The sequence below is a fragment of the Homo sapiens genome, chromosome 8 (genome assembly GCF_000001405.40).
Source record: "Homo sapiens chromosome 8, GRCh38.p14 Primary Assembly".
NCBI classification, from domain to species: Eukaryota; Metazoa; Chordata; class Mammalia; order Primates; family Hominidae; genus Homo; species Homo sapiens.
In genome coordinates this window covers 86,704,293-86,727,546 of record NC_000008.11, presented here as the reverse complement: position 1 = coordinate 86,727,546, position 23,254 = coordinate 86,704,293, and the positions used below count along the sequence as shown (strand labels likewise).

Below are 23,254 nucleotides of genomic sequence, written 5' to 3'. Positions count from 1 at the left end.
AGGCTTGACGGGAAGAAATTAATTTCTGTATTGAAAATAAAGCTAGTACATATTAGTTTGTATCATTTCGTCAGAAAATATTTCACAACTTAAAGATGGTCAAGCTAAAAACAAAAATTTGATTTCATAAAAATGTAGAATGCAAGTGCTAAATAATGTCAATCACATTTTTTCCTATTTTACTTTTCTGAATTTTATGATGTATCAATTTCAGCCCAAAATTATGAATACTTTAGCAAAACTGGAAATGCCTTCTGAATAATAAATTCTTATTCTCAGCTTTGTCAATATCAAAAAGAAATATATCTTATGAACTTTTATTACATAATACACCAACTTCAATTACAATCATGTGCTGCATAAAGATATTTTAGTCAATAAAAGACTGCATAAAAGAGGGTAGTCTCATAAGATTATAATAACATATTTCAAACTGTATCTTTTCTATGTTTACATACACAGACTGACCATTGTGTTAGAATGGCTTACAGTATTTATTACAGTAACATGCTGCACAGGTTTGTAGCCTAGGATCCATAGAGTATACCGTATAGCCTTGGTGTGTGGTAGGCTATAACATCAGGATTTGTATGATATAAGTACACTCTATGATGTTTGCACAACGACTAAGTCACCTAACAATGCATTTTTCAGAATATATCTCTGTCATTAAATAGCACACGACTGTATTTTTTCATTGGCCTGAAGGTGTCTACCAGTTAATTCTTCCTGCATAAAGTCCTACTTTGTTTAGCAGAAGTCCCAGGGGAGGTGTTCTTGAGAAGACTATTCTAAAAAACAAGCAGCATCTTTGTAGCTCATGTTGCCAAATATAGCTGGGTCAAGAGTGTTGTACATTCTTCTATCTATGTGAATTTTTTTTTCATAGACAAACTCTCCAAGAAAAATTCCTCTGGAGATCTGACCACAAACCCTGACCCTCAAAATGCAGCAGAACCAACTGGAACAGTGCCAGAGCAGAAGGAAATGGACCCCGGGAAAGAAGGTCCAAACAGGTGAGCATTTAATAAAACACACAACATATTTTAGAGATATTGCTCAGCCTGCCCTAAAGAGCTCAAATATCCACTCTCCCCTTTAGCTGAATATAAGGGCAGAAAAAATTCAATAGTCACATAACACAAAAAAACTGTGTCAGAACTAAAAGGTTGGTTCTGTCCAGTTCATCGTACCTCACTGGCCCAGCATGGCCACTAACCAATATCCCTAGGCAGCCATTTGGCTATAGGCCAAATCACAACAAAAATATTGCTGTTACATGTATGAGTCATTGTATCATTATGGAAACAGCCTATATATTTACTAGGCATGAATTTTAAAAAGAAATGATGAAAATTTTCCAAGCTCACAAATAAACAGCTATTCCAATTCTGTGAATATTTTATTGTTTCAAAAGATTAATTATTATTTCCTTTTATCCACTAAAGAAAGTGTGACATGCTAACCAGGAATAATTACAGAACTGGAACATCTTTATGCCACTGAAGGAACACAGCTTTATAAGTACTTCCCGTAAGAGTATTGGAAATACTGCAAAAGAGATAACAATTTAAATGTGAACCAGTAAATCTGCAATAAATCCCAACAAGGAGGTCCTTCATTTTGCCTCTTCTTGGCATGGTATTATGTACCTGCCGATCCAGTTAAAATGGCTTAACTATAATTGATATAATTGCAATATGTTTATGAAACAATAAAAGCATATTCTTATTTAATAGACAAAAAGAGTTGTCACTTATAAAGAAGTTAAAAGTACCTATTCGTCCATCCCACTCCACCCTACCCCGCCTTCTCTCTCAGCAGCACCTCTACTGTGTTAAACCATCTGCTGTTAGTAGAAGTCATCGTGATTATCTAGGACCCAGGGAATTGCTGAATGAACAATTGGCATCAGAAACAGAGAATGCCTTTTCGATAAACACAAATTTGACTATATGAAAATAAACACAAGCTCACTCTACCACATACACGCACACACATACACACGTGTGCACATAAACACAATGTTATTTGACAAAAATAAAAGTTGACATATTATTTTGGCAGAGAGATGTTTAAACTCTGAGGTAAGGACTGTAATCTAACAAGAGAACAACTAATTATTTATATTTTATCTATAACTGTTGTTGTTTACAGAATTATTTTCAGTCCTATTAGTGGATCATCATTATCTTCACTCAACAGATAAGCAACCAAGATACTGAAAGGTTAATTCATTTGCCTGTAGTAATAGGGTCAGCTCTCCTAATATTAGACTACAAAAGATTTGAATTCCCAAAGAGAACTTTTACTTCCTCACACCAATACACTCCCAGCCTTCTAAACTAATCTCCCTTTCTAGCATTAATTTTAATATGTTTATTTTTTACAATAACCCACGGCAATTGATAGATTTTCAAAGGACTGAAGTTGAAGCCATAACTAACATTTTGGGGGATAAATTCTTTTTAATCCGTATTCATTCCTAGTATTTCTTACACTCTTCTGAAATGTGGAAGTGGAAACCTTTCAATTACCCAGGGGTCAATCAGCATAGCTCAAAAACAAAAAACTTCTTGACATGACCTCTCAGGCCCTGCCTGGTCTGTCTCTCACCTGTTTTTACTTTGTCCTCTCCCAACACACAACTTTCCCACCTCTCTGCTCCAGTCACACCTGTTCTATTTCAGTCTCTTGTATTTGTCATGTTCCCTCCTGCCGCAGGCTTTTGCACATACTACTTCCTCTGCTTGTTCTATTCTTTCCTCCCCTTATCACCTAATTAACTTCTATTCATTCTTCAGATAACAATATGACCAATACTTCCTTTGTAAGGCTTTCCCTGACATTCCTAACTAGGCTATGTGCCCCTATTATAAGATCTCTTTCACAGCATTTATTGCTGATGCATTTTATATGATTATCTGCCTGAAAAATCCATCAGTCTCAATCTCTAAATTGTGTGCTTCATGATGGCAGGGGCCATGCCTGTTTTTGTTGATGATTAGTATCCCCAGTACCTACATCAATGTCTGGCACATGGTAAATATTCAATAAATATTTAACAAATGAATTGATTGATCCAAACATATTGGATTTGCTTGAACTGCTAGATTTTCAAAACTATACAGCTTCTCCAGGAGGAGAGCAAGACACAAGTGACTCTCCAAGTCTTCCCATTCCTTCCTGCTCAGAATTCTTGATAAAAGCAAGAATAATCAGTAGCATATTGCAAAGATAATGAGGAAAAAACATGAGGCTGTAAAGCTCTCAAATCCTTACTTCTCTTCTAACATGGCTTTTCATCAGTATCACTATCCTGAGATGGCAAAACTGTTAAATCCAGAAGACTTTTTTTAAGTGTTATTTTAGTTTCATGGGTACATATGCAGGTTGATTCTATAGATAAATTTCATGTTGCAAGGGTTTGATGTACATATTATTTCATCAGCCAGGTAATAAGCACAGTACACAATAGGTAGTTTTTTGACCCTCAGCCTCCTCCCTCCGGTCATCCTCAAGTAGGCTCTGATGTCTATTGTTTTCTTCAACGTGTCCTTGTGTGCTCAATGTTTAGCTACCATTGTAAGTGAGAACATGTGGTGTCTGGTTTTCTGTACCTGTGTTAGTTCACTTAGGATAATGGCCTCAAGCTCCATCTGTGTTGCTGCAAAGGACATGATTTTGTCAGAACACTTTTTAATGTCTTCCTGGCTACAACATAGATAGCAAAGTGGTTTGAGAAGTATTAACAAACTAAGTAGACCCAAGTTAGCTTAAAGTTCTTGCTTTGTTATTAGATGGTTGTTCACATGTTTTCTCAGGATTGGGTGAAAACCAGCTGCACTGAAGGAACAACTTGAAAGGGGCATTAGAAGCTCCAGTATCAGCTTTGACTAAAATTAACGGGAATCTTTAAGTTCAATACCATGTAGAACTGACCAAAGCTTTCTGTTCCAATCTCATGGGTGACAACAGTTACCATATCTAGAATCCTAGGGACAGAGTTTTTATACATTATAAGAAAATATCAATGATAAAATAATTATTGAAATTATTACTTCACAATGCTTTTGATGAGTAAAAGGTCACCTTTATATTTTCAGTTGTTAAATATCAGCATCTTCAACCTTGGGCAAGGTCAGGTTTTAAAAAGCTCTTTCTCCTAGAAAAAAATTAAGTATTTGATTGATTGCAGGAACTAAATATAGATGCTGTGTGAGTGACCAGCTGTCACCTCAATTTTTTAAATTTGGAAAATTTAAAAGAAGTTTTCTTATTGTAAGTGCAATTACTTTATCTTCTCACGTAAGCCTTGAGCTGAATAGGGATTATTATGTCTGGACTGATCAATAGGTACTGGGGAGAATGCATAGTGTGGATTTTGCTGTCTGTGTGTAAGAAGTACAGTTTGATATTATTGATTACACCCTTAGTTTCTGCTCTGTTTGGAAGATGGGCAGAAGTGAACACCAAGAGGAATAGAGACATAGAGATTACCATCTGTATCAGTTAGGGTTCTCCACAGAAATAGAACCAACAGGATATATGCATATATAGGGAAATAAATTTATTATAAGGAATTGACTCATGCGATTATGGAGGCTGAGAGTCCCAAGATCTGCAGTCAGTAAGCTAGAGACCCGGGAAAGCCAATGATATAGTTCCAGTACACGTCTGAAAGCCTGAGAACCAGAAGAGCCAATGTTATAAGTTCCAGTCCAAAAAGCCAGCAAACTTGAGACCCAAAAGGAAACAATGTTTCAGTTTGAGTCTGAAGTCAGAAAAAGACCAATGTCCAAGCTTAAACAATCAGGCAGGAGTGCCCTCTTTCTCTCAGGAGAGTCAGCTTCTTTGCTCTATGTAGGCTTTCAACTGACTGAATGAGGTTTACCCACATTAGGGAAACCATTCTGCTTTGCTCAGTCTACTGATTCAAATGTTAATATCATCCAAAATATCCTCAAAGACACAACCAGAATAATGTTTGGCCAAATATCTGGGCACGTTATGGCTCAGTCAAGTTGACACATAACATTAATCATCACGCCATCTCCATTATGTACATAAAGGAATTGAAACTGTATAGGTCCCACTCTTCACCTCCAAAAGCAAACAATTCATTATCTTGTCAAATGAAACACTTACCTTCTGAAAGACACAGGGTTCACCCCTGTGAAGTCCCACTGATGCCATTTGTCCATTACCAAGAAAAACAGCTTATTTCTGGCACTTTATCTCAGTCCAGCCTTATTTTTTAATATAAAAATATATTTTGATGGACACTAATGAATAGCAAGCAAAAGAAGATGTGTTTTGCCTGGAAATGTCAAATAGCTATGTCTGAAAAAGGAGACAGAGTTGAATGGCTGATAGGTTAAGTGGTTAAATGATGAACAAGCAGCGAGTGAGTGAAATGTTCAGTGCCTATGACTAGGGTGTGCTGCAAGACTGACTTTTACACTATAGTATATGGCTTTTCATCACCATTGTTACTCATAATACTGAGAAGGAAGGTTATTTCTATGAATAGTCTTCTTTGTTCATAATAGCAATCAGTCTCTATTTGGGTGGTTTTAAAATAGGCAATCATTTCACAGCAGGAACAATGAGAGCAGAATAGAATTCAGAATCTTATCACCACTCATAAACACTGACGTTTATTGTCTAGTAGCTAGAAAAAGCAAGAATCACTGCAGTAAAGATGCTTAAAAATCCATATGTGACTTCATAGTTGAAATAGAAAAGGAATGTCAGCTATCAAGTTTACAAAAATAAAATGCAATTTATACTTCAATAATTTATAAGCATTTTTTTTAAAAAAGGGAAACCAGCTACACACTTGCCAATTTTGTGGGATGCATAATAAAAATAATGCACTATTACTTTTAGCCCCATATTGAAATTTTCCTCTATGGTAAGCAATACTTTTATAATTAAACATTGCAAACAATTTAAACAACAGATCATCAAATCTGTTTTTATTTATTTTTTATTTCAATAGGTTTTTGGGGAACAGGTGGTGTTTGGTTACATGAGTAAGTCCTTTACTGATGATTTCTGAGATCATCCTGAGCAGAGAACACTGTACCCAATGTGTAAACTTTTATCCTTCACCCCCTTCCCACTCTTTCCCCATAGTCCCCAGAGTCCATTGTATCATTCTTATGCTTCTGCATAAGAATACTTAGCTCCTACTTATAAGTGAGAATGTACAATGTTTGGTTTTTCATTCCTGAGTTACTTCACTTAGAATAAGAGTCTCCAATTCTGGCCAGGTGCGGTGGCTCATGCCTGTAATCCCAGTGGAGACTGACCTTTGGGAGGCCAAGGTGGGTGGATCACTTGAGGTCAGCAATGTGAGACCAACCTGGCCAACATGGTGAAACCCCATCTCTACTAAAAATACAAAAATTAGCTGGGCTGGTGGCGTGCACCTCTAATCCCAGCTACTCAGGAGGCTGAGGCATGAGAATCACTTGAACCCAGGAGACAGAGGTTGCAGTGAGCCAAGATCATGCCACTGCACTTCAGCCTGGACAACAGAGCAAGACTCTGTCTCAAAAAATAATAATAATTATTATTATTACACTCTCCAATTCCATCCAAGCTGCTGAAAATGCCATTATTTTGTTCCTTTTCATGGCTGAGTAGTATTCCATTGTGTGTGTGTGTGTGTGTGTGTGTGTGTGTGTGTGTGTGTGTGTATACATATATATATATATATATATATGCCATGGAATATATATAAGTTGTGATATATATCACACTTTATTTACTCATTGATTGACAAGCATTTGGGTTGGTTCCATATTTTTGCAACAGCAAATTGTGCTGCTATAAACATGCATGCGCAAGTACCTTTTTGCTATAATGACTTCTTTTCCTCCGGGTAGATACCTAGTAGTGGGATTGCTGGATCAAATGGTAGATCTACTTTTACTTCTTTAAGGAATCTCCAAACTGTTTTCCATAGTGATTGTACTAGTTTACATTCCCACCAACAGTGTAAGTGTTCCTTTTTAACCACACCCATGCCAACATCTATTATTTTTTCATTTTTTGATTATGGCCATTATTGCAGGAGTGAGGTGGTATTGCATTGTGGTTTTGATTTGCATTTCCCTGATAATTAGTGATGTTGAGAATTTTTCCATATGCTTGTTGGCCATTTGTATATCTTCTTTTGAGAATTGTCTATTCATGTCCTTAGCCCACTTTTTAATTGGATTGCTTGTTTTTTTTCTTGCTGATGTGTTTGAGTTCCTTGCAGATTCTGGATATTAGTCCTTTGTCAGATATATAGATTGTGAAGATTTTCTCCCACTCTGTGGGTTGTCTGTTAACTCTGCTGATTATTTACTTTGCTGTGCAAAAGCTTTTTAGTTTAATTAAATCCCATCTATGTATCTTTGGTTTTGTTGCATTTGCTTTTGGGTTCTTGGTCATGAAGTCTTTTCCTAGGCCAGTGTCTAGAAGGGTTTTTCTGATGTTATTGTCTAGAATTTTTATGGTTTCAGGTCTTAGATTTAAGTCTTTGATCCATCTTGAGTTGATTTTTGTATAAGGTGAGAGACCAGGATCCAGTTTCGTTCTTCTACATGTGGCTTGCCAATTATCCCAGCACCATTTGTTGAAAAGGGTGTCCTTTCCCCACTTTACATTTTTGTTTGCTTTGTCAAAGAGCAGTTGGCTCTAAGTATTTGGCTTTATTTCTGGGTTCTCTATTCAGTTCAGTTGGTCTATATGCCTATTTTTATACCAGTAGCATGCTGTTTCGGTGACTATGACCTTATAGCATAGCTTGAAGTTGGGTAATGTGATGCCTCCAGATTTGTTTCTTTTGTTTAGCCTTGCTTTGTCTATGCAGGATCTTTTTTGGTTCCATATGAATTTTAGAATTGTTTTTTCTAGTTCTGTGAAGAATGATGGTGGTATTTTTGACAGGAATTACACTGAATTTGTAGATTGCTTTTGGCAGTGTGGTCATTTACACAATGGGATTTGTTTCCATGTTTGTGTTGTTTGTGATTTCTTTCAACAGTGTTTTGTAGTTTTCCTTGTAGAGGTCTTTTACCTCCTCATTAGGTATATTCCTACGTATTTTATTTTACTTTTTGCAGCTACTGTAAAGGGGATCGAGTTCTTGATTTGATTCTCAGCTTGGTCACTGTTGGTGTATAGCAGAGCTACTGATTTATGTACATTAATTTTGTATCCTGAAACTTTGCTTAATTCATTTACCAGTTCTAGGACCTTTATGAGTGAGTCTTTAGGGTTTTCCTCCTATAAGATTATATCATCAGCAAATAGCGACAGTCTGACTTCCTCTTTACTGATACGGATGCCCTTGTTTCTTTCTCTTGTCTGATTGCTCTGGCTATGACTTTCAGTACTATGTTAAATAGAAGTGGTGAAAGTGGACATTTTTGTCTTGTTCCACTTCTCAAGGGGAATGCTTTCAACTTTTCCCCATCTAGTATAATGTTGGCTGTGGGTTTATCATAGATGGCTTTTATTACCTTAAGGTATGTACCTTCTATGCCAGTTTTTCTGAGGGTTTTAATCATAAAGCAATTGTGGATTTTTGTCAAATGGTTTTTCTGCATCTACTGAGATGATCATGTAATTTTGTTTTTAATCCCGTTTATGTGATGTATCACATTTATTGACTTATGAATGAAAAGCCATCCCTGTATCCCTGGTATAAATCCCATTTGATCATGGTGGATTATCTTTTTGATATGGTGTTAGGTTTGGTTAGCTAGTAATTTGTTAAGGATTGTTGCATATATGTTCATCAGGGATATTGATCTGTAGTTTTTGTTGTTATTTTTATGTCCTTCCCTGGTTTGGGTGGTAGAGTGTTATTGGCTTCATATAATGATTTAAGGACAATTCCCTTTATCTCTGTCCTGTAGAATAGTGTCAATAGGATTGGTACCAACTCTTCTTTGAATGTCTGATAGGGTTCAGCTGTAAATCCATCTGATCCTGGACTTTTTTTTCTTGGCAATTTTTTTATTACCATTTTAAACTCACTGCTTGTTATTGGTCTGTTCAGAGTTTCTATTTCTTCCTGGTTTAATCTAGGAGGGTTGTATATTTCCAGGAATTTATCCATCTTCTCTAAGTTTTCTAGTTTATGTGTGTAAAGGTGTTCATAGTAGCCTTGAAAAACCTTTTGTATTTCTGTGGTATCAGTAGTAATATCTCCTGTTTTATTTCTAACTGAGCTTGTTTGAATCTTCTCTTGTCTTTTCTTGGTTCATCTCACTAATGTTCTGTGAATTTTATTTATCTTTTCAAAGAAACGGTTTTTTGTGTCATCTCTTTTGTATTTTTTTGTTTGTTTGTTTCAGGTTCATTTAGTTCTGCTCTGATCTTGGTTATTTCTTTTCTTCTGCTGGGTTTGGGGTTGTTTTTTTTCTTGTTTCTCCAGGTCCATGAGGTGTGACCTTAGATTGTCACTTTGTTCTCTTTCTGACTTTTTGATGTACGCCTTTAATGCTATGAATGTTGCTCTTCGCACCACTTTTGATATATCCCAGGGGTTTTGATAGGTTGTGTCACTATTATTGTTCAGTTCAAAGAATTTTTTAATTTTCATCTTGATTTCGTTGTTGACCCAGTGATCATTCAGGAACAGGTCATTTAATTTTCGTGTGTTTGCATGGTTTCAAGGGTTCCTTTTGGAGTTGATTTCAAATTTTATTCCACTGTGATCTGAAAGAGTACTTAATATAATTTCGATTTTCCTAAAATTACTGAGACTTGTTTTGTGGTCTATCATGTGATCTATCTTGAAGAATGTTCCAGGTGCTGATGAATAGAATGTATATTCTGCAGTTGTTGGGTAGATAAGTCCATTTGTTGTAGGGTATAGTTTAACTGCATTGTTTCTTTGTTGGTTTTCCGTCTTGATGACCTGTCTAGTTCTGTCAGTAGAGTATTAAAGTCCTCGATTTTTTTTTTTTTTTTTTTTGAGACAGAGTCTCACTCTGTCACCAGGCTGGAGTACAGTTGCACAATCTTGGCTCATGGCAACCTCCACCCCCTGGGTTCAAAAAATTCTCCAGCCTCAGTCTCCCCAGTAGCTGGGATTACAGGCACACGCCACCACGCCTGGCTAATTTTTTGTATTTTTAGTAGAGAAGATGTTTCACTATATTGGCCAGGCTGGTCTCAAACTCCTGACCTCAAGTGATCCTCCTGCCTTGGCCTCTCAAAGTGCTGAGATTACAGGCTTGAGCCACCACGCCCAGTCTAAAGTCCCCCACTATTATTGTGTTGCCGTCTATCTCATTTCTTAGGTCTAGTAGTAATTGTTTTATAAATGTAGGAGCTCCAGTCTTAGGTGTATATATATTTAGGATTGTGGTATTTTCCTCTTGGACTAGTCCTTCTACCATTATATAATGTTCCTCTTTGTCTTTTTTAACTGCTGTTGCTTTAGTTTGTTTTGTCTGATATAAGAATAGCTTTTCCTGCTCGCTTTTGGTGTCCATTTGCTGGAATATCTTTTTCCATCCCTTTACCTTAAGTTTATGTGAGTCATTATGTGTTAGGTGAGTCTCCTGAAGACACCAGACACTTTGTTGGTGAATTATTATCCATTCTGCCATTCTGTATATTTTAAGTGGAGCATTTGGCCATTTACATTCAATATTAGTACTGAGATGTGAGGTACTATGCCATTCATCATGCTATTTGTTGCCTGAATACATTGGCTTTTTTATTGTTATTGTTATATAGACCGCATGAGATTTATGCTTTAAGGAGGTTCTATTTTGGTGTATGTTGAGGTTTTATTTCAAGATTTAGAGCCCCTTTTAGCAGTTCTTTAAGTACTGGCTTGGTAGTGGGAAATTCCCTTAGCATTTGTTTGTCTGGAAAAGACTGTCTCTTTCCTTCTTTCATGATGCTTAGTTTCACTGGATACGAAATTTTTGGCTGCTAATTGTTTTGTTTAAGGAGGCTAAAAATAGGATTCCAATCCCTTCTAGCTTGAAGTGTTTCTGCTGAGAAATCTGCTGTTACTCTAGTAGGTTTTCCTTTATAAGTTACTTGATGTTTTTGCCTCAGAGCTCTTAAGATTTTTTCCTTCATCTTGACTTTAGATAACCTGACTATGTGCTAGGCGATGATATTTTTGTGATGAATTTCCCAGGTGTTCTTTGAGCTTCTTGTATTTGGATGTCTGGATCTCTGGCAAGGCCAGGGAAGTTTTCCTGAATTATTCCCTCAAATATATTCTCCAAACTTTTAGATTTCTCTTCTTCCCCAGGAACACCAATTATTCTTTGGTTTGGATGCTTAACATAGTCTCAGACTTCTTGGAGGCTTTGTTCATTTTTGTATTCTGTTTTCCTTTGTCAGAAGGGTTAATTTGAAAGCCTCGTCTTTGAGCTCTGAAGTTCTTTCTCCTGCTTGTTCGATTCTATTGCTGAGACTTTCTAGTGCATTTTGCTTTTCTCTAAGTGTGTCCTTGATTTTCAGAAGTTGTGATTTTTTAAAATTTATGTTATCTATTTCACTGAATATTTTTGTTTTTTAATTTTTTTTATTATTATTATACTTTAAGTTTTAGGGTACATGTGCACAATGTGCAGGTTAGTTACATATGTATACATGTGCCATGCTGGTGTGCTGCACCCATTAACTTGTCATTTAGCATTAGGTATATCTCTTAATGCTATCCCTCCCCCCTCCCCCCACCCCACGACAGGCCCCAGTGTGTGATGTTCCCCTTCCTGTGTCCATGTGTTCTCATTGTTTTCCTTTTATATCCTATATCATGTTTTTTATTTCTTTAAGTTGGATTTCACCTTCCTCTGGTGTCTCCTTGATTAGCTTAATAATCAACCTTCTTAATTCTTTTTCTGGCAATTCAGATTTCATCTTGGTTTAGATCCATTGCTGGTGAGCTGGTGAGATCTTTTCTGGTTCCATCTCATTTGCGTAGACTATTTCAGAGGGAAGATCTGGGATCCAAGGGCTGCTGTTCAGATTCTTTTGTACCATGGGGTGCTCCCATGATGTGGTGATTTCCCCCTTTCCCTAGGGATGGGGCTTCTTTAGGGCTGAACTGCAGTGATTGTTTTTGCCCTTCTGGGTCTGGCCACCCAGTGGAGCTACAGGACTTCAGGGTGGTACTAGGGAGTGTCTGAAAAGAGTCCTGTGATGTGATCCGTCTTCAGGTCTCTCAGCCATGGATACCAAAACCTGCTCCAGTGGAGATAGCAGGGGAATGAAGTGGACTCTGTGCAGGTCTTTGGTTGTATTTTTTTCAGTTGTGCCAATTTTGTGTTGGTTGGCTTCCAGTCAGGAGGTGGTGCTTTCAAGAGCGCATCAGCTGCAGTACTATAGGGTATAGGGAGGATGTAAACTTGCCCTAGGGTTGCCTGGTTAAGTATTCAGGTTTCTTAGGTGGTGGGCAGGGTTATAGAGCTCCCAAGATATTACGTCTTTTGTCTTCAGCAAACGGAGTGGGTAAAGAAAGACCACCAGGTGGGGGTAGGCGTAGGTGTGTCTGAGCTCAGACTCACCTCTGATGGGGTTTGCTGTGGCTGTTGTGGGGGATGGGAGTGTGGTTTCCAGGCCAAAGGAGTTATATTCCCAGGGGGATTATGGCTGCCTCTGCTGAGTCATACATGTTGCCAGGGAAGTGGGGGAAAGCAGTCACAGGCCTCACCCGCTCCCACGTAGCATGCAGTCCTAAGGGCTGGTCTCACTCCCACAGTGCCCTACCAGTAGCACTGAGTCTATTTCCAGGCAGCCAGTGACCAGGGCTGAGAACTTGCCCAGACCACTAGTCTCCTCATTGAGACAGCAAACAGACTCAGTTTTTCAGCATCTCAGGGAGCCTGCAGCAGTGATCTAGTTCCTTCAAAGGGTCTGTGGATTCTCTCAGTTTTCCTGATATGTTCCTGTGGCAGTTCTTGGAGCAAAAGTTCATTATGTGAGTCTCCATATGCTGTTCTGTCTGTCCTAGCAGGAGCTGCAAACTTTTCCTGCCTCCTATCTCCCATCTTCTCCACAATCCCCATCAATTCATTTTTAATCATTATTGCTAACATATTTCTAGCAATATGGCAAACTATATGTAGAACATTATTTGGGGTGAATATAATTTAAAATACTAGAATCTCTTGAACCTAGGAGGCAGAGGTTGCAGTGAGCTGAGATTGCACCACTGCACTCCAGCCTGGGTGACAGAGTGAGACTCCATCTCAAAAGAAAAAGAAGCCAATCTGAAAAGGGTACGCACTGTACACACTCTATGATTACAGCTATTCTGGAGAAGGCAAAACTGTGAAGACAAGAAAGAAAGAAAAACAGTGGTTGCCTGGGGCTGGGGGGTTAGGAAGACAAATAGTCAGAAAATAGAGGATTTTAGGGCAGTGAAACAACTCAGTGTGATACTATGATGATGGATACATGTCATTATAAATTTGTCCTAACTCATAGAATGTTCAACACCAAGAGTGGACCGTAATGTAAACTATGGAATTTGGGTGATAATGATGTGTCAATGCAGGTGTACCGATTGTCACAAAGGTACCACTCTCTTGGGGGATGTTGATAATGGGGAAGGTTATGCAAGGGTGGGATCAAAGGTATATGAGAAATCTGTATACCTTCAACTTAATTTTGCTGTGATCCTAAAGCTGCTCTAAACAATGAAGTATATTTTTTTAAGTCGGAAAGAATAAAATGTCTCTTCTAAAGAGGGGTGACAGACATTCAAAAAAATTTAGTTTGATTAATTTTAGAATTTCTTAAGTAAACATGCATGTTAAATATCTTTGAAAAATATGAGATTAAAACAGAATTTTTAACCTCCAAATACTAAACTTATATAGTTTTAATATTGTAAGATCAGAGATGACAGAGAGAGCATGCAATTCTGTCAATTACAAAATGAAATTGGTAATTCCACACTCATAGGATGGATGATTTTAAAATATTTATCTTCATTTATGAATGGATCAAGGATTTAAAAATTCATTTAGGATACAGTATATTTGAACATCACAGTAGCTAGTTCCTAAAGAACAGTTGTTTCAAGTTTACATAGAGTATATATAAAAGTTGACTATATACTATGCCCAAAGTGCACTGTAAAATCTCCTAGGAACTCTTTAAAAGTGCAAATGCTTGAGTTCTATCCCCAGCAATACTGATTTAATTGGTCTGGAATGGGTTCTAGGCATGAGCAGATCATAAACCTTTGTAGGTGATTCTAATGTAAATCTAGGCTGGAGAACCATTTTTCTAGAACATAAAGTAGGTCTCAGCAAATTTTAAAGATTGCCCATCATATTGAATATATTCTCTAACCACTATGCAATAAAGAAGTTAATTTTTTAAAACTAAAATTTAGAAAACATCTCCTATAGTTAAAATTTAAAACACCTTTAAGTAACTCTGAGGTCAAAACATAAATCAAAGGGAAATTGGAAATACAACAATGAAAATAATGAACATCAAACTTGAGGAATAATACATATTCTATCAGGTACTTGTTTTTGCCTTTCTGTTTCAGGAGGTTTTTCCTCTCTCCTTTTTTTCTTTTCTTTTTTCTTTTTTTAAACTAGTTAAGTTGGTTATAAAGTTCATTTGAAAAAAAACAGATGAGCAAAAGTAGCCAGAAAGCCAGGCGCAGTATCACATGCCTGTAATCCTAGCTACTTGGGAGTTTGTAGAGGGAGAATTGCCTGAGCAGAGGAGTTCAAGGCCCGCCTAGGCAACACAGCAAGACCTCATCTAAAAAAAAAAAAAAAAAAAATTAAGCCAGGAAAACCCTGAAAAATAAAACTAATAGATATAGTAGTATTCCTACCAGATATTATAACCTATTTAAACTTCTATAATTTAAAAAGTGTGATATTAGCACATGAATCAAACCATAGAACAGAATAGAAATACAGAAATATATCTAAATGCAGATAAAAATATAGTATATTAAGGTTAACATCTAAAATCTGTAGGAAAAAGGTGGATTTAAGTAAGTAGTGCTGGAGTAACTAAGTAGCCATATGGAAAAATCTAAATTTGAATTTGTCCCTTGTGCCACACACCAGAAAAAATTCCCAATGAGTCAGAGATTTAAATGTAAAATAATAAAACCATACTAATACTAGGGGAAAAATGCTAATTCTTCTACAGCCTAGAAATGTACATTATGTCCTAAAATTCAAAATTCAGAAGTAATAAAAAAGCTTAATAAACTTTACTACCTAAAAAATAAAAAAGACTTTGCATTACAAAACAAATCATAACCAAAATAAAAAAGAAAGAATCAGCAAAGTATCCAGATATGAAAATGCTCATTGCCACTTTCTCTGATGACTGATAATTTTATTTTGGGGTTGATAACGATATTTAAATTTTGTTTTGCTATTAAGGTACTTTAAAATTGTTAATGATTTAATTAAATTGATATCTTTCATCCGTTACTACCACAATTTCATTTTCTCTTTTTCAAAATTCAATACCAGAAGCACAGTGTACTTTAATTGATAGCCTAAAGTAACCAATATATCAGGTAATCCCAGAAGTAAAACAGTGATCCTGGTACTCAAAACAGTGCAATCTGAAAGTCTGGCCTTACTTCAAAAAAAGTAATTACTCATAGTACATATATAAGTATTTATTATACATAATATTTATATACTATGTATTATATGTCATATATATATATATATAGAGAGAGAGAGAGAGAGAGTGGTAAACTACCTGCTAGAGCCTCCATCTGTGCTTTGTATCCTTAAAAGTCATTAATAATGCTGCCAAAAACTAGATGTACCAAGATGAAGCAGGCTAGGATCAGAAACAGCAAGAGTGCTTTACAGGTAGGTGGTTAGACATGAGTCAGCAGACAAAAGACAAAAATTTTATGAGTGTGTGCAGTGGCCCTGAGAGAGGAGCCAGCCTATAGGCAGTTTGTGGTCCTATCAAAAATTGCTTCACTATTTATCATGGAGAGATGACAGCTCGGTTGCCTGTTGCCATAGAAAACCAGAGCTGACAGAACTTCTGAGTCTCCTTCCTTTCTTTTGGCATAGAAAGAAGGAAATTGGACAATTACTATATTGTTTCATGGTACTTAAATGAAGACTTTCAAAAAATGGGTCTTCTTGTGTTCCTAGCAAAGTGAGGAGAGCCATGTGATGATTGATTGGTTGGTTGATTGAAAGTTTTTGAAAATTACAAGAGTGAACAATCTCAGATTTCTATGACGCAGGCAGGCAAAAATCCATGAATAAAGCACATTGGGGATATTAAAACAACAGAGTTAATCTGATAACAAAAGAGACAGGAGGTAGAAAAGAGAAACAGAGGTGAACTTAAGTGCACCAAGAAGTCCTTCCTTTCGCAAAGAGCCCATGTAGCTGAGGGTTGCCATATGGAAAAGGGGGCCTAGTGATACCATATCATCTTCTTTATTCAAAAAACCTCCAATATCTAGAAGTACATATTTTGCAATACTACCAAAATAAGTTAAAATTATTTCAAATGATAGATCCAACAAAACACAGCTATAGGTCACCAGTTTACCATTTCTCCCTTGAAAGAATAGATAAGTTCTAAACAAGTTCACTGTCAAACCAGGTAATTTCATTATAAAATCTGGCATGTGGTCAACAGGAAAAACATTCATTAATGTTGTTTCCAATATAAAGCAGTTACGGAAGAAAGAACCAAAACTATATGAAGAATCACTTTTATATTTTAATTAACTTTATTGCATTTCCTTCCAGCTTATTTTCATAAGTGTTTCTTTTAGGGTTTTGTTTTATACTGTAATTTTTTAGATGTTTATATCTTAGGTATTTTTTGTCTGACAGGATTTAATAAGCAGTCTTCCGTGGTAATAGAATGTTTTTGTAGCCAACCTCTTTAATTCATTCGTAGTAGTCTAAATATGAATCAATTAGAAAAGAGGTCTGGTTGAGTCTATTTGAAAGTTAATTGGTTGATGATGGCTGGAAGAGCTGGCTAACAGGTAAAAGGGAAGCTCCCCATGGTGAGAGAATAAATGGATGACTACTGTGTTTCTTAAGATCTTCATCCTCTTGGGAGGAGGAAAGTGATTGCTCTGCCTAGGACTGGCAATTAGCAGGAGACAAGAACAAGGTGAGAGGAAAAGAGTAGAGATGGGGGTGGGGAGTGGGGGATATCTCCCTACCTGGTGGCAATAGCAGACAAAAAAGTTGAGTCATTTGAAAAAGAAAACAGATTTCCACCTAGTGGGAGATAACTTCAGGCATGGGAAATAGCAAAAGTAGTACATTGATTTACAGTGCACAGATTTTCAAGAAGCAGCACAAATACTATGTAGATAAGTTGAGAAAACCACTTACAAGCAACCTAAAAGTAAGCTAATCTGTGGTGGCCAGGTTGGAGAATGGCAGTTTACAAGAAACCCCCATACTGTCTCCTTCCTTTACAAGAAAGGAAGAGATTTGTGAGTTGGCAAACCAAGGTATGGGGCTTAACTCATTTGCCAGAGTGAAGCAATTCCCAGAGGGACTGACCATTTTATCTCAACTGTTTAGCACAGGATCTGGCACTTAATACATACTGTTGAAGGCAATCACATTGTGAATAAAACATTATGTGCTTTATTCTAGTAGATTCCTAGAAGAGGAATCACAAAGTGAAAACATATACATATTTTTTAAATTTCTGATGGAAATTTTATGAGTATAGTTTTAGCTTTAAATATTGTTCTTGTTTTAAATATAGGAATTTTTTTCAAATATGGCTGTTTTCATTAGCCATAAAATGTCTTGATCATTCTTCCTTTATGTGAAAGGTAATGTTTTCATTTATTTTTTTTAACTTTTCCAGCATCCCACAGTATCAGGACAGTTTGTTGTACAATGCGGTAAAACATAAAACTGAGAACTTAAATGTCTAATAATTCCGTACCAATAAATGTTCACCCTAACTCTGCTGAGACAAGTAACAGTCCAACAACTCGTTTTCATGCCAACAATCAGCTAGGTAAATTGCTTCTACCTAGCCTAATGATTCATTTCATTGCAGCTGTTCATATTGCAACTGTTCACCAATGCTCTTTATGTGGGCAGCAGGCTCACAGAAACAGGGCTGTTTGAGCTCAGCCAAGCGCTGGGGTTTGTAAGACATTGACAGACAATAGAGAAACAACTGTGTTACTCTATGCTAGAGGAAAACGTAGCCAGGGGACAAGTTGACAAAATAGGTACAATTAGAGGAAAAAATCCACATGCTTCCACCGGCAAATGTAACATGTGTCTGTGTGGGTACCCATTTTATCAGCTTCTACTTCTATAACAATGAATGAACCAAACAAACTTGCATCTAAGGCCACCTCCTTTGTTAGTGTGCTAATCCCCTCTAGCCTAGTCATAGACACCACTGTGGCAATTGCATCCTTTCTTTCCCACAACACCTAGCTTGTTCTCTTTGTTGGATCATTTCTATAAGCATGTAAACATGTTGCAGCATTTTCCACATTTAAACAATAGCAACAAAATGGCTCCCTGGGCTGCACATGAGTGACCAGCCACACCCTATTTCTCTATTCCCCACTACAGCAAATTTATTCGAAACAGTTACCTATATTCACTTTTTCTGCTTCCTCTACTCCCATGTTCTTCTGAATCTGTTTCAGCCAGGATTTTATTCCTTCATTCCACAGCTTCTACTGTTATGAAAGCTTTTATTGGCCAAGGCAAGAGGATCACTTAAGCCCAGGAGTTTGAGACTAGCCTGGGCAACAGAGCAAGACCCCATCTTTACAAAAATAAATAAATAAATTCTTCAGGCATGGTGGCACATGCCTGCAGTCCCAACTACTAGGAGGTCTGAGGCGAGAGGATCACTTGAGCCCAGGAAGTCGAGGCTACAGTGAGCCGTGATCATGCCACTGAACTCCAGCCTGAGTGACAGAGTGAGACCCTGACTCAAAAAAAAAAAAAAAAAAAAAATTAAGAAAAGAAAAGAAAAGAAAGAAAGTAAAGAAAAAAAGCTTTTATTGGCTTCTGTCCACTTTTCCCAAGGTCAATAATGCCCTCTACTCTGGTAACTATTGCTTCTCAGCCTTTTGGCCAAGATCAAGTGTATACTGATGGCCATTGCTCAGTTCTGCTTTATTCCACCTATCAGCAACTATTTGAAGTTGATCTCCTTCTCCTTTCTATCTTTATCTGGCTTACCAGAGCACACTCCTTTGACTGCTACCGTCCCTCACTGGCCACTCTCTTCCTCACCGTTCATTAATGACTCCTCCTCACCTCCCCAACCTCTAAACTTGAAAGGGCACAAGCACAATCCTCAGACCCCTTCTTTACCTAGATTCTTTTAGCAAGTGATTTTATTCAGTCCCATGGTTGTAAGCAACATTGATACCCTGATGGTTCCCAAATTTATATCTTCAGTTGGTATTTCTGCCCAGAACCCTGGGTTGAATTACAAACTGCCGAGTTAAAATTTCCCCTTGGAGGAATCAGATATGGCAAAATGCATGTGTCCAAAACCAACTCTTAATTTCCCTTACCTCTTTCAGACCCACTCCTCCTGCAGTTTTCCCCATCTCAGTACAAGGAATCTTCATTCTTCTCTTTGCTCAACCCAAAAATGCACCCTATTTTTTCTCTCCTACAATACAGCCAATCCAAAAGCAAATTCTGTCGGCTATTCCTTTGTGTTATATCTAGACTTTGCCGTATCTCAGATCTCCACTGCTACTCTCCTAGTTCATCTCTCTCACATAGCTATTGCAGTAGCCTTCTAACTGCTCACCTAGCTTCCAATCTTTGCCCTCATATGGTCTATATTCACCGGAGTAGCCTGGATGATCCTGTTGAAGGGCAGATCATCCCTTTCTCCTCTAGATTCTCCAGTGGTTTCCCATCTCATGCCGAGGTAAAAGCTGAAGTCCTCATGATGGCCCACAGAGCCCCATATTATCTGCCTTCAACTTGCTAACCCCCCACTGCCTCACTAACCTCAGCTCCTGCCACTGTCATTCTCTCACTCTGACTCAACCACTCTGGAACAGTCTTCCCCCAGATATCTGCATAACTCTTCCCTCACTCCTTTCAAAGCCTCTGCTCAAATGTTATTTTCCTGGAGAGGCCTTTTCTGACCACTCTGTAGAAAATACCAATACCTTTCACTCTTTGTCTTCCTTACTTTGTTTTCCTTCATAGCATTTATCATCACCTGACATATTCTATATTTTTTAAGTTTATATTATCTGTCTCTCTTTATTAAAAAGTAACATATCTTCAAATATAAAGATAGGAGTTTGTTATGCTTATTTCTATATTCCCAATTCCTAAAAGACTTTCTGGCATATAATAGGCCTATGATAAATAAATTCTGAATGAATGTTTGAATGAATGGATGGATGGATGGGAGCCTTTTAGCTTTGGAAGGAAGATAATGTTTCTTCCCATAAATGTGTGATTTTATTCTTAAATTATTAAATGTAAAATATCATCAAGTTAATATCTCTTAAGTAACTCTGAGCCTCTTCCATGAATACATTTATTTGATCAAGCTTCATGTCTGATTTTATAATATTTTTATCACAAAATATCACCAAGTCTTTTTGAATGGTTCATAGAAAATTCACAATTTAATGTACTTTTAAGCTATTTGAGGTCAAGAACAAAATTGAACCCTCAAGCTTTAACTGATTCCACAAGTACAAGAAGTAGAAGTTATGCATTTGACTTCCTCTCTACAATTGTTGGTTTCAACTGCAATTATTCTAATGACTCATATGATAACCAGATTTGGAGAAAGCACTGTAATCAGGGATTGATTGCACTAAGTGTTCACCTCCAGAGTCTAGGACACGATTTAAGACTCAAATGAAAGGAAAACAATGGTTTAAGTCTGGACTTCAGAGGGCATCAGTCCAGGCAACAAAAGTATCAGGCTGAGGGACACAGCAAGCCTTCTATTCAGGGCAAATCTAATTGGAGAAAGGTTTTACTTCCCCCAGGATTAAGATCCAACTGGTGGCCACATGAAAGAGCTCTCAAGGCTGTTGCACTTTTACCTACTTGGAGCTCAATACAGTGCTTTTCTCACACTAATGAGCGATGCATTTACTCACATGCTTTTAAAATTAGAAGCAGAGGGTATTTTTTAAAGTAATGAATGTTTTGCTTAAACCGTACCAACATGTGTTTTGAAAGGAACTGAAAATGTAACATATGGTTCATGTAGACTTAAATAGGTCTTGTTCAGACATTAATCTAAGGGGAAGAGAGGGGCTGTTTGCCTAGTTTGCCTCCTTAGGTACAGCAATCTTTACTCAATCATCAATCTGTTCTTACATCAGCACATTGGGTTTTAATGAGACCTGGAAAAGTACTTCAGTCCCTACTTTATAAATATAATTTTTAAAAGTTCACTAAAGAATATAAACTACATTATGAAAGGAATTGTGTTTTGTTTATTAACAGGTAATTTATATAAGCAACTACAATTAAATTACCACACTTACCTCACTGTCAGTGTAGGGCCTCAGTAAAGAAAGTTCTGAAGTTAACAAGTCTTCCTCATCAATGACCAGGTGAAAAGTTATCCAGGTGTTAACAGCAGCAGCAAAAAGTTTCTGTCTTGGTTTCTTCAAATGAGCATCTGGTTCTGTATCACCCACTATTCCTAGTCTGTGTCATACTATAATCCACATCATTTAAACTAACTCCATGCATTGGTGCAAATACAAATTTAGAAAGCCCAGCAACTTACTGTCTCACTGCCGACCTAAGGCCAAAGCCTGTGCTGCTATATGTAAACCACCTGCAGCTCCACCCCAGAAGGATATAACTCAGGCTATAACTCCTCTCTGAACCCCCAGCGCTCATGTCAGCCGTGTTTCTGATATCCAGCCTGTCTTTGGTATTTGGTGTGACAATGTTTTGTCTGCAGCGTCTCTTCTGCTTGCAGCCAGAGAATATTTTTGGTTTTTAGGGGCTTACATGATTATATTGGGCCCACCCAGATAATCCAGGATAATCTCCCCATGTTAAACTCTGTAACCTGCAACATTCCTTTTGCCATGTAATGTAACATATTCACAGGTTCTAGGAATAGGAGCATGGACATTTGCGGGTGGGTTGGGGGCAGCGGGGGCAGGTCGTCTGCCAGCACTTTTTTTTTACTCACACCTGAAGTTTATTTGCTCTGGAGAATTTAAATAGTTTACTGGTGCATAGTACAATTTGGACTGGTGAACACAGTAAAGGACCAAACAAAACTTAAACGATGAAAATGAAAACTTCCAAGACCTTAGGTTTAATTGGTGAAAGAAGAAAGCTGCCTGTTCACTAACAGAAATACATATGAGAATTCAACTTAAAGTGAAATATTGGCAAAGGACTTCAGCAGTTAATTAGAATTCCTAGGCAATTTGCTTCTCCCAAGATGTATTTTGGGAGGTGTGGGGAGGAGTTTATTGACTGTCAGCTTTAAATGCTTAGACATGCTAATTTACATTAATTCTAAAGCTAATTTTTCGTGCCAATCAGCCCTCTACTACAGCTTCTAATAGCAGATTTCTAGTTCGTGGGTTGCTGGTGACCTCTGAACGAAAGAGACCTACTAGCATTCTGTCATTTGATGACACAGATGTTACTTCAAAAAAAGAAAAAAATAGACGGTATTTTAAAAGTCATTAGTTGTTTGAAACTCCTAATGCATTTTTCCATTGTAACAATGTTAAAAATGACAGTCAGATGAAAAGAGAGCCTAAAGAATTCAATTTAGATTATAATTTATTTAAGACCAGTGCTGTATGAAAAGAACTATGGAATTAATCTGTGAGAAATTGTACTCTTGAGTTCCAGCTTGAAACATGACTGCTACAGTGCCCTTGACATTGTCTCAGTGTCCCTTGGTGGACCAAGTGCCAATCAGTTAGAGAGAAACCTCCAAGTCCCTGATGTAGCTCCCAAAGCCTGGGCAGAAAGTCCTTCAGAGCATTGCCTTAAGAGAAGTGGGAAAAACAAGATTTTCCATTTCCATTACAGCCATGTTTTTATCATCCCTAGTTAACAGGATAGGAAAATACAGTCTAATGAATTTTTCTTCTCTTTCTGTTCCCATCATAAACACAATCTTTAATTCAGTTGACCCTAGAACAACAAGAATTTGAACTGTGGTACCACTTATCCCTGGATTTTCTTCCTTCTCTGCCATCTGTGAGACAGCAACACGATCTCTCCTCTTCTTGCTCCTC

The 23,254-nt window shown here is 37.3% G+C and overlaps 1 protein-coding gene across 1 annotated transcript in view; it reads left to right on the top strand.

The window, feature by feature from the left end:
- CNGB3 (cyclic nucleotide gated channel subunit beta 3) overlaps positions 1-23,254 on the top strand; it is a 169,456-nt gene that overhangs the window by 16,088 nt on the left and 130,114 nt on the right. Inside the window, exon 3 of the mRNA NM_019098.5 lies at positions 890-1,016. Coding sequence (NP_061971.3) covers positions 890-1,016 — 127 coding nt within the window. The remainder of the gene's footprint in view (positions 1-889; positions 1,017-23,254) is intronic.